This window comes from Homo sapiens, chromosome 6, assembly GCF_000001405.40.
Source record: "Homo sapiens chromosome 6, GRCh38.p14 Primary Assembly".
NCBI classification, from domain to species: domain Eukaryota; kingdom Metazoa; phylum Chordata; class Mammalia; order Primates; family Hominidae; genus Homo; species Homo sapiens.
This window is the reverse complement of record NC_000006.12, coordinates 4,055,457-4,067,882: the sequence shown is the minus strand read 5'-3', so window position 1 is coordinate 4,067,882 and position 12,426 is coordinate 4,055,457. Positions and strand designations below refer to the sequence as shown.

The 12,426-nt window shown below is 36.8% G+C and overlaps 1 protein-coding gene across 35 annotated transcripts in view, besides 1 other annotated feature; it reads right to left on the bottom strand.

Moving 5' to 3' along the window:
* Positions 1 to 2,899: 2,899 nt before the first annotated feature.
* Positions 2,900 to 12,426, bottom strand: part of PRP4K (pre-mRNA processing factor kinase PRP4K) — a 43,684-nt gene continuing 34,157 nt past the window's right edge. The window contains exons 12-21 of one of the 35 annotated variants that reach the window (NR_146785.2): positions 11,448 to 11,562; positions 10,696 to 10,847; positions 9,069 to 9,155; positions 7,197 to 7,470; positions 6,736 to 6,868; positions 6,183 to 6,228; positions 5,584 to 5,670; positions 5,250 to 5,326; positions 4,764 to 4,809; positions 2,900 to 3,082 (exon numbers count right to left, since the gene is read on the bottom strand). Coding sequence is in view for 2 of the 35 variants with exons in the window: in NM_003913.5 (NP_003904.3) it covers positions 7,267 to 7,470; positions 9,069 to 9,155; positions 10,696 to 10,847; positions 11,448 to 11,562 (558 nt within the window). In the remaining 33 variants the exon portion in view is untranslated. Of the gene's footprint in view, positions 7,471 to 9,068; positions 9,156 to 10,695; positions 10,848 to 11,194; positions 11,357 to 11,447; positions 11,563 to 11,630; positions 12,331 to 12,426 lie in introns of those variants that run through there. The other 34 variants (XR_007059360.1, XR_007059368.1, XR_007059371.1 and 31 more) reach the window with 34 other exon arrangements.
* Positions 8,394 to 8,688: an enhancer, noted in NCBI's record as "tiled region #2502; HepG2 Activating DNase matched - State 5:Enh, and K562 Activating DNase unmatched - State 25:Art". NCBI's record gives its function as "activates a minimal TATA promoter and a strong SV40 promoter by Sharpr-MPRA in HepG2 and K562 cells {active_cell/tissue: HepG2 | K562}" and the evidence as "EXISTENCE:reporter gene assay evidence [ECO:0000049][PMID:27701403]".

Genomic DNA, 12,426 nt, shown 5'->3' with positions numbered 1-12,426 from the left:
CTAGCGAAAAAGGAAAACTATGTGACTGACAAACTTTACTGCCCCTAAGAATCAAGGAAACAAATAGAGTCCTAGCTTCTATTGCAGGCCCTCTGAAACACAATCTTTGGAATTGGGACCCATGGACACACATTATAAACAAATATTCCAGGTGATTTTAATGCAGGTGGTTCTTGGATCACACTTTGAAAGATGTAAAGGAAAGGATTGATGTAACATACATAAATTAGAGGTTCAGATATTTTGGAATATACTGTGTTTGGGTTTTAAGTGGATGGTTGGTGAATTCAAATTAATTTTTCTAAAAATTAAAAAAATACACAATTAAAACTTCAACCATTATCCAAAGGTACCAAATGAAAAGTAAGGTGGCTGTGCGTGGTGGCTCACACCTGTAATCCCAGCACTTTGGGAAGCTGAGGTGGGTGGATCACGAGGTCAGGAGTTCAAGACCAGCCTGACCAAGATAGTGAAACCCTGTCTCTACTAAAAATACAAAAATTAGCTGGGCGTGGTGGTGGGTGCCTGTAATCCCAGCTACTCTGGAGGCTGAGACAGAGAACTGCTTGAACCCGGGAGGTGGAGGTTGCAGTGAGCCGACATTGCCCATAGCCTGGGCAACAGAGCAAAACTCCATCTCAAAAAAAAAAAAAAAAAAAAAGCCGTTCCCCCCGTAACCCCACACACAAAGACAGCCACTAAATGTTTGGGTGTCATCCCTGCAAATGAGATGGAATATTGGAATATTTGAGTTAGGGATGAGTGAATTAATGAATAATTCAAATAAATGCAGAAGAGAACAACTGTAGCTTTTCCAGCTTTAGTAGCTTAAGGTTCAAAGTTTTCTTAGAGGCAGGGGTCAGAGAGCATGCTTAGTTTTTAATTTCAAAGAATTTTCTAGAATCATATAGCACAGCAATAGAAAACAAACGTAATTGGTTAGTCTTAGCATAATGAAATTTTACCTGTATCCCATACAATCAGTCCCGTTAATCCAAAGTGGTATAATATCCCTCTCATAAAAGTATATGCCAAAGTGGACTTACATTTTCACTAAATTCCAACTTGCAGTGACCTGTTTCCCACAAACCATCTTTAATTCTTACAATTCCTTCTAACTTGTGTACTGAACCTTTTTGACAAGCCCTCTGTGTCCATTCTCGTTTCTACTTTCCTTAGCTACCTGGATTCTTTCCCTCACCCCCAGGGTTATGATGTAATTTTTATTTGTAAAACCTTCAGAAAGGACATGCCTGTTTGCTCACCACTGTATCCTGGCAGGTAGTACTTGACTACCAACTGTCATGCATGACATAGTGGTTACAAGCACTAGCTCTGTCGCTAGGCTGTCTAAATTCGAACCCAGACTCCTGCCACTGAACACCTAACACCTTTAGCAGTTTCCTTAACCTCTCTTGCTTCACTTTTCTGATGGGTAAAGTGGGTAGACTGTCTTTATCTCATATAATCATGTGCGGGTTAAATGACCAGCAGCAAAAGTGCCTGGCATATACAAGTATTCACAAAATACATTAGGGAAGTAAGAATGACACAGGAGGGCAAACCATCTCGAGAATGGACCTCCTTAGCACTAGTTAGGTGCAGAACAATAATTCCTAACAATGTCCTGTTTCTTGCAGGGCATGTGCCAAGGCACAGGGAAATGGTACGGTGCAACAGACACAAACCCTTTCAGTAAGACTAGGCGTGGGAATGGGCATGGGAGATGGGACTGAGACCAGAAGTGGCAAGTTTTGTAGGGATTAGAGATGTATCATCTCAAATTTATCCTGTAGACTGACAGGGGAAAAAGACCTGGTTCAAACAGGTGAAGTGGGACCCACTTGTCTACATATGTAGTGGACAAAACTGGAGACATGAATACAAAATATTTGGCTATTTTTCATACTTGGTGGAAGTCAACGCCCACCATTATCTTTAAATAAGAAAACATTTGGCAGTTTATAACACACATATAAATTCTGTTCGGGAAAACCTAGTTTGCTGATAAATACCCATGTTTAGCTCTCCAGTCATTGATGGTCCTCAGCTCACTGGATCTTCATGAGGTTGAATCTTTCTAATTAGAGAAAGTATGTGTGGCCGGGTGTGGTGGCTCATGCCTGTAATCCCAGCACTTTGGGAGGCTCAGGCGTGTGGATCACCTGAGGTCAGGAGGCGGAGGCGAGCTGTGATCGTGCCACTGCACTCCAGCCTGGCGATAGACGGCGAGTCCGTCTCAAAAAAAAGAAAAAAAGAAAGAAAAAAAGTATGTGTGAAAGGTCCTTAACCAATACATCCTGCATACTATTTTCCCTAAAATGTACCAGATACAATAACCTCATAGCCACTTTAGATAGTTATGCAGTCTAACAAAATTATAACTGGGGCCTTTACATGAAGACTATCCAGAGCCAGTGCCATTTGACCATTTCTCAGCCCAGAATCAAGCATACTAGCTTCTACCTGCCACTCTGCGGTGGTTAGCTCCAATGGGGTGGGTGGGTGCATTCTACAAGGCCATTCTGCCTGCCTTATCTGCTTTGCATGCACTAAGATTCACAAACTACACTGTGAATCTATTTTACTCACTGTTTTGAAAAGCCAAAAACAGTTCCTTAAAAGAAGAAAATAAAGAGTGGGTATACTGAGGATAAGAGCCCAAGATTTGTCAAGCTATCATGTGAGCAATGAACCAATTTATTTTTATCATTATAAAAACAGGAGTTGGCTCATTACTTATCTGTTTCCTTTACTAGGAAAACCAAAGCAGAAATGTATGTAACAGGAACACGAATATAATACACTCTTTGGTGTTGTGCACCTAATGCTTTGAAAATGTTTTGATGTTTGTGAGGAAAATCTGAACTCAACCAAAGAAAAAAACCAGGAGACAATATGATAATAAGAGGCATATTTTATTCAGTTTCCCAGTAAGTCAATTAGAAACATGCACTGCTAAAATGCAAGTTACAATTCAAATGGTACCATAAATAATTAGAGTACACACTGAGCATTTTCAGAAATCAGCTTCCATATCTTGATCACTAAATGGAAAGGTTCTTCAGAACAGTCCCTTACCCTATATACAGAAGGAGAAGAAAAATTAAGGATGCCATAATGACATCTATCAGAATAACTGGAAAACATTTTAATTTAGCATACATTATTGACATGTAAAAAACACAAATGAATTTGTCGTGAACATTTCTATAAGGAAGACATTCCATTAGGAGGAGAATGATAAAATTCATGTTGAATATATGCTGGAACTAGGATACTATTAAGAAAGAAACACATTTATGAAGCCCAATTGGTAAAGATGTCATTATAACTAAATGAGGAAAATTACATATTTGAATATATGGCTTTCTTTCCTATCTTCAACATTCAAAAGGGCCATTTCTTAACTACTTCGCCTAAATTTTATCATGTTGATTCCTTTGTTTCATCTCAGAGATTTTATTTCTACCCCATATAGCTAGAGTTCTGCTTACAAATGATAAAATACAGGTAAAGCATAAGAGGAATGCAAATATGGAACAAAACTGAGAACATTACATTTTACTTACTCTACCACATACCATAAAACAGTACATAAATATTTCATTTTGAAAAAAAAGTCCTGAGTACTTATTTTTGTTAGGAATAAAGTGGTACTTAATAATGGCAAAACATTTCTATTATTTTAAAACAAAATTTTGAGACAGTAGAGTGAAATGAGATAGCTATCAGGGAATGAAGAAAACAGGATGTATTAATAACGATTTAAGGGTGAATATAAGATGCTCCCCCTGCTCAAAACCTCGAAATTCCAACCTCATTTCTGATGATCTTCAAGAATAAAGTCTATCCAGAGTGTAAAAAATGTCTATGCTTTCCAGATCTCAACTATTCTCCCAACCCTAGAAAAAACTGTAACATCTTTGAGAGCCGTACCTAACACTTCTATGAGCCCTCAAGTCTGACAATCACTTGATATCACTTTTGCCATAAAGTATAATAAAAGCAAAAAATTCACGGCAGATAGCATTTGAAAAGCATACAGCTACTCTAAAAGAGGAATGCACATTTATTCAGGAGCATTCACTAAATAAATTCAATCTAGTAGGTCTTGCAGAGTTCCAAATTGCACCTCAGCAAAATTACAGAGTGTAGGAAAATCATGTAACGTACATAAGACAGTTGATAGGGTTCCTTTCAAATAGGTAGTCTAGATATGCTAAATTGGGGAGTATAAAAAACCCAGAGTATCTTTTTCATTTCCCTTAAAAAAAATGGCTCTGAATATTTTGTCTACTTTAAGACTGGAACACTGGTTAATAACGAGGTTTCTACAGGGTAAGTTGGGGAACAGATACTAAAGGAGTTGAACAGTATTCTTAATATTCCAGTTTGTATTCTTTTGCATCTGCCTAAAGCTGAAGACTACTTTCAGATATATGCTATTCTGGTGGTTGCTGTTTTTCTAAGAATCCTTAACATCCAATTTTGACAACCATGTGTTATGTGGAATCTCAGCATCCAGCAGCCTTTTATATTACTAAAGTTGACCACTATTTTTATTTTAGGGGAGGAGAAACTGGGGGAGGGGAGAGGCAGGAAGTATGATAAAACAAGCACTTTACAGACGCACTCCACAACAGCACTAATTCTAAATACCAAACACCAATAAAACCCAAATCATAATGCTGAAAACTAAAAAATTAGACAAAAAATAAATGAAGGATTGTTTTTTAATAAATCTTTTATAGGACAGAAACCTTAGCTCATGTCTTCTGGTTGTCATCATCTTCCACTGAGCTGCACCTAAAACACAAAGAACAAGTAACAAGCAACTTTGTTTTTTAAAGAACAGGTAACAGTTTTGAAGGTATAAGATGAACTGTTTCTAGTGGAACTTACTTAAAAAATTACATAAAATGAAGCCATAAACATCACCAGAAGCATCAAATTGTCAACTACTTTGGGTGAAAATAACTACAAGAGACTTGAATATGCAGCATATTATCACCGAAATAAATAATGGTGGGAAAATCACTACCCATTTCATTAAGGTAGAATAGCTGCACCTGTGACGCCTTAATTAAAAGGCTTCACTCTACCTGAAGATGAAAATCACCTTGTATTTATTTTAGTAAGTCTAAACCGTGAAGAGACGGGGTGTAGGTTCAGAGGTGGCTTATTATATCATCTATCACCTTCCTGGCTGTAGTTCATTTCATGTCTTTAAATGGAGCAAAACCCACCAGAAGAATCAATGCTGCTATTCTGATTTTCCATTCTTGAATGCACCAAAATGTGCATGCTTGTTGTAATTAGGTGCCTGGGTGAATAAAAAAATCCCATTTACAATTTAAAAATATTATTTAAACCCCTAAAATCTGATTATTTTCCATATTCCTCAGGGAGACAAGCATTAATTTTACCCCCCAAACAGCAAAGATTACATATATTTCTGAAAAATTCTCTTCTACCATGTTAATAATACAAATTCCTTTGTGTTGCAAAACCAAGCTGATTTAAACGATTTTGTCTTAAATTGTTGCTAAATGTTTATCTACACATGCTGTCAGAAATAACCTTGTTAAGAAGGTGAAGCTGGTGTCTCAGCAAATCAGACCCCTTGGAGAAGGCGTCGAATGGCCTGTGCCCCGTTTTCCTTTTTCTCTTTCCGCACCATCAAAAGGAAAAGTGAGAAAATAGCAGAAACATTAGTTAAATCCTGAATTATACCCCATAACCTACAGGAATAATCTCACTACACTGAAAGCTGACAATATTTGTAGGATTTTTTGAAATAATTAGGATCCTAATTATTAATAAACTGGTAATTTTGGCTAGGTTTACATCTTTAACTAATAATACTTTCAATTAAAAACTTTCAGGAAAAAAACAAAAGGTTGCTTTTAACTATTTATGGTTTACCTGACTTACCAGCACTGAAGACAAAAACTTTTAAAAATGGCTACAAATGCCTTGTTCACAAAAGACTTTATTATCTAGTGATGCATACTGAGAACATACAGAAATCTGCATGGTCCACTTCACATGCAGTAGAACAATCTTCACTTTACAATAAGTGAGTGTCAACTGTTTTATGCAATAGACAACACTTTAAAGTCACATTCTTAAAGAAAAGCTTCATTTACAAAAGAAATAAAAGGTAAAGAAGCAATTACCGCTTTTAAAAAGCAGCTGCTTTGTTCAAGAGTGGAAGGTTTATGCCTGTATTGAAAGACAACATGATCACAAATAATGAAAACAATGAACAAATGAAAAACACTTTTACCATAAAGCAGTACACTTTCAAAATGACATACAAATAGTTAAAAATTTCATTACGTTGTCTAGCCTTTAAATATGAGGACTTTCAGAATTAGGCCTCAACATTTGTAATTAGTAAATGAAAACTACGCATCGTTTCTATGTCACTAGGAACTATATTTAACAAAATGTATATAAAGTCTATAGCAAGTTGATTTAAAAAAAGTAAAGTTAATAAGAAACAGTACACTGAAGGCGCTCTATCCATCAAGCGCGTTCTCTTCCAATTTTAAATGTGATGAACAAACAGAAATTGTAACTATGCCACAGTTGCAATGCCAAAAAATAAAACAAGATCAGTTATCACACATGCAGGGAATTCTGCCACAAAGCTAACATCCCTCATTTGTCAGTTGTTCCAATAAAATAACATCTTAAAACACCAGAGATGTTGATGGTTTAGCTTACCTTCAGTGTACTGAATGCTGCACACAACCTGCTTTAAAAGGAGACCATCCCTGCAGGCAGGCTCAAGAAGGAACAGACCCCTTTCGGCACTGACTACACCAAGGGCATGCTGCTGTGGCCTGCACACACACACCTAGGAAAACGTGAATATAAACAGCATTTATGCTGGCCATTTTATCTCAAGACCAAAATGAAGCCAAGTCTGCTAAGAACAAATCAACCACCCAATATTACTACTCATTTCATAACAGATGCTTTTGTCTTTATGTGAACTGCAACCATATACATTAGCACTGTAATTTTGTGCAGTCTTGGCAATTTAAAACAGTCTACAGTGAAATTTCACGTAAGACACAAAACAGATTAACTAACATCTCTAAAAGAAATATCACCCTTGGTGTTAATTCAAATATATCATGCTTCCTCAAATTTGCTGGAGAAATATTTATAAGTTTATATACATTAATAAACTGCTGTGAAATTTCTTCAGTCTTTGTATTTACTCAAACCCTTGGAGTTTCTTCATCTTGTTTAAATTTTTTCCTGGATGAAGGCGTGCTGTAGGGCCTGGTTGATGCTAATTCGTTTAGCTGGGTCCAACATCAGAATCTGGTCCAACAAGTCCTTTAGCTGGTGTACTTTCTTACGTTGGTCTTCAGGAAGTCTCTGGCACCCAATCAAGTCAGCCAACAGGTCCTTAGTTGGATTAATGGTGCTCATAACAGTAACTTTCTCCTAAAAATAATTTTTAAAATGCGTATCTCTAAATAAGTTACTAAGCATATACAACTTAAATCAGATTGTTTTGGGGTCTATCAAAAATATTAAAAACATGCATATACATACAAAATATATACACACAGTGCACATTTTGGGCAATGACAGACTGCATATATGACAGTGGTCCCTTAAGATTGGAATACCGTATTTTTGCTCTCCCTTTTCTATGTTTAGATACATACATACACTTACCACTTGCAAAAGTGCCTACAGTATTCAGTCCACCAACTTACAGTTCAGGCCTAGAAGCAAAAGGCCATACTACTTACCCTAGATGTGTGTGAGTGTATGCTGTGGTTATGTGACGCATGACTGTATCATCATCATCTATTCATTTAAAACTTTGCTGTGGTTTCCTCTATGCTGTACATCTTTTTAAAAGGTAACCAAAAAACTTAAATGAAAAAGTTGATGCCAACTCTGGGCTGGGCGCGGTGGCTCACACCTGTAATCCCAGCACTTTGGAAGCCCAAGGTAGGTGGATCACTTGAGCTCAGGAATTCGAGACCAGCCTGGGCAACACTGCAAAACCCATCTCTACTAAAAATACAAAAATTATCCAGGCGTGGTGGCACACAATTGTAATCCCAGCTACTCGGGAGGCTGAGGCATGAGAATTGCTTGAACCTGGGAGGCAGAGGTTGCTGTGAGCCAAGATCGTGCCATTGCACTTCACCCTGGGTGACAGGTGACAGAGCGAGACTCAGTCTCAAAAAAGAAAAAAAAAGTCAACTCCAAGTTAGCAATGAAAATTTACAATAAGATAAGCATGAGCTGTTTGCACTGTACTTTCCCTACCTTGAAGTGGTAAGTGACAGACATGTGAATAAGTTAATACCCTGAAGTATTATTAAGTGCTCTGACAAAGACAGGGACATATGCTATAATAATGGGACAAAAATAAGGAAATCATTACTTCAATCTGGGAGTTTTCAAAAGGCTCATACAGAATGTGTATTTCAGCTGAGGCTTGAAGATGATACATTTTTTAGGGGGTTGGGGGTGAGGCAGCACAGGAAATGACTAAGCTCAGGGAGGTCTGTTAGCAAAGGCACAAAGGTCTGAACCAGCACGCCTTCTGGCCAAATGTGGAAAGGTGGGGGTTCTGAATGTACTGAAGAGAGGTCTGAAAACTGAAGAAAGCAGTTGGATTTGTCATTCTGAGGAACTTAAATATTATTTCATAGGTAACAGGGAGCCAACAAAGGTTTTTAAGCAGGGATAGGAACATGACCAGATATGTTTTCAGAAACATCACTCTAGCAGCAATAAGAAAGCTGGATGGGAAGCCAGACCAAGAAAGTAATCCAAAGAAGATGTGACGAGGGCCTAAATATGACCTATAATAAAAATAAATTAATTATGCTAGAAAAACATTTTAAAATCCCTCCATCTTTTCCATGGTCTGATGTGTTTTATTTAGGAATTGGTCGACAGCAAAAAGGAAATACTTACTTTTGGGTTTTTGTTTTTTTTTTAATTCACCAGCTCGTATGATTTAGTACTCAGTTAACAATAAAATAACTATTGCATGCTGCATTTAAAACACTTACCCTCTCTGTTACTTTATCAACTTCTATGTACATGAAGTTGAGATTTTGATCAAAATGCTGATCTTTGAACACACCTTTTCGAATCATCTACAAAACAAAACAAAAACTTGGGTTTTGAACTATTATGAAACAGGCCTACTAACAATTTAATTAATATACAATAAGTCAAATAAGTATGTTATTTAGTCTCTGTAGGTTTGTTTGATCTCAGATTCCCTTGATCCCAGGAATTCATTAACATCTTTGCAAAAGCAAATACCAATGCTGTACCTAAAACTACTTAATAACATGAAATTATATTTGTCCAGGCAGTGACTTAAAACAATTATAACATCAAATTGTCCTTTCACTATTTAAAATTGGAGAGTCAACAAAGACTTTAAATTATTTCTTCCTAAAAATATCACAAAACTCAGGTTTTTTCTCCTTGGCAGTTAGGGAACCTAATGCCACTTTACTAATTATGTTCCAACAGCCCTGATACAGGTCAGACTTCATTAAAACTAATACCAACATAGCTCATTTTTATGTAACTTATTCTAAAAAAAGTCCAACCTAATAGAATTTGGACAATATGTACAAATCAGCCTGGTCAACATAGTGAAACTCCATCTCTACAAAAAAATTATTAAATAAATTAACTGGTTGTGGTGGCACATGCCTGTAGTCCCAGCTACATTGGAGACTGAGGCAGGAGAACTGCTTGAGCCCAGGGGTTCGGTTCAAGGCTGCAGTGAGCTATAACTGTACTCCAGTCTGGGACACAGAGCAAGATCCAGTCTCAAAACAACAACAACAACAAAACACAACTGAAAACCATACAGTTTTCTGACCTTTACGAAAAATGTGTAAATCTTTAGAAATTCAGCAAATAGGCTGAAATCTTAAAAAGCTAAGTTACAGCCGGGTGCGGTGGCTCATGCCTATAGCTACTCGGGAGGCTGAGGCAGGAGAATGGCATGAACCCGGGAGGCAGAGCTTGCAGTAAGCTGAGATCGCGCCACTGCACTGCAGCCTGGGCGACAAAGCAAGACTCCGTCTCAAAAAAAAAAAAAAAAAAAAAGCTAAGTTATGGCCCTCAGATACTTTAATAAATGCTTACATTCTTGCTTCATGTTAAACAGAAACTAGCATTATAGCTGAAGTATCAGCGGTGAGTTAGAAAGATATTAAATAAGAAAAGGTACCAAGAAAGGTACCTTACTTTCTCAAATAACCTCCAATCTTTAATAAATTAATTAACATCAAGTTCCTCTTACAATATCTAATATTCACCTATTCATTCTCTGACCACTAAGCATGTTCTTGTATTTTACCTAATTCAACTTACATCTTTTTCCATTCTGTCTTCCAAACATTTTGAAACTTTTACCCATAAGGGTGTATCCCCAAAATATTGCTGCTCTCTGTCCATCATTGAACAAGTTCTCTTATCCTTAGCGCTTGGCTGATTAGAACCACTAATTTAAAACACCAGAAAAGGGAAAGACCCTAAGAAATCATGATAGCCATCTACCCACCTTTCTGAAATTTTTGTTTTATAGCTCACTAGTGGTGAGCAAGTGTCAGCAGTCTTGTCAGTTAATAAGAAACTAAGACCTTAAAGAAGCTCATGCTAATGTCTTACCTTATTTGGCATCTTTCCTTTGAGATCCATTGCAAGCTTCAGCATATGGTTATTGGTTTTGCCAGGGAATAAAATTTTTCCAGTATAGAGTTCGTATAAGGTGCAACCTACAGACCACATATCTATACCATAGTCATAGCTTTTACCTATAACTGAAAACAAAATCAAAGTTTTAATATACGAGGATAGAGAAAACTGACGACTATTAATTTTTATTTCCATTAATGAGGGGCTGGCTACCTTAGCTTGGACTATAACCACAATCTTCATGCCTTAGTTTGACAATTAGTTTTGTGTTCTTTCCCACTAATTCTTAATAGAGACTCAAACTTAAAAACCTTAAAAAATGGAGGTGTAGGGGAGGAACTTAAAGGGCAAAAGAAAATATGTATTTCTTCTCTTTTCTCATTTCGCCTTTGGTGGAGGTGCTAATCAGCCTCAACCAAGGCAACAGGAAAAAACAAAGGTCCCATACAATCCATAAATGTGATAATCAGACCTTGAATAATCAAGAGCAGTCTTCTAAAGTCGAGGATTTTCCACAACTGTTTTGCTACTCTTGCCCGACATGATCAAGACTCCTGTCACAACTACCTTCATTCCACCTGAGGAGGATGAACTTGCTATGGTTCCCTTCCTCATGAATGAACTCGTGCAGCTGCTGAAGTGTGATGGAAAACAGTGCTTAGACATTAAGTATGCGGTTTCCACCACATATGATGGCCCAGGTCAAAGAACATTAAGAAACTTACTGATTTCAGGAGCACGATAAAATCTACTGACAAGATAAGGTGTTATGTCATTATCCGCAACATGTGAAGCCGACCCAAAATCGCAAAGCTTTAAAATAGTTTTGGATTCATTAACCTGCAAAACATTTTTTCAAGGGAATTTAATTCAAGCCAGGAATAATTAATACAAATAAATAAAAATTATTGGCTTTGAAAAGTTTTATTAATTCCAATACTGAGAACAAAGACATTCATTTAAAAATTCCTTTTCTATTTATTTTTAATTCAATTTCCTAACTATGAAAAGTTAATATGTATCAAATATTCATTACAATGAGTAAAAACTGTTTTCAGTGAGGAAATGGATATCACAAAGTACATTTAATTTTAACAACTGCATTTTTAAAAGGGTGGGGTACTGAGAGAAAAATCTAATTTCATGAAGCAAAGCATCTTCTAAAAAGACCCTGAATACCTGAATAAAGTCAAGTTTTATAACTAAGGAATCAGACTTAACTTTCAGTTGCCAGAGAATTACAATGGCAATGAAAGCAGAAGGGTGATTCAGAATAAACTTGGACAAAAACAAAATATTCTTCATCCGAAGCTGCTATATGATCCCAAATTTAGCAATCACTTCAAGTCTAAAAAATATTAAATCCCTCAAATATAAAGAAGGTATTAGTCAAGAAAATGTTAAATATATCTGGCAAAACTGATAAACATGAACTCTATATTAGTCATTTGTTTCTTTTTTCCTTTGTAAATACTTCAACATACACAGTAATAGTGACATCTGCTGAGAAAGGCTGGAGTTGCTCCCATGACTGCTGCCACTCATGAGTCAGAGGCATGTTCAGGATTAACAAGTGAAGATAATTCATATTCCAGAGTCCCTTCCCCCCTTCAAAAGAGACACACACAAATTCCGAGTTGGGACTTGAACTTGGCCTACTGCTCCCACCCCAAAGCAGCATAACACTATAGCCTTAGGCAGTCT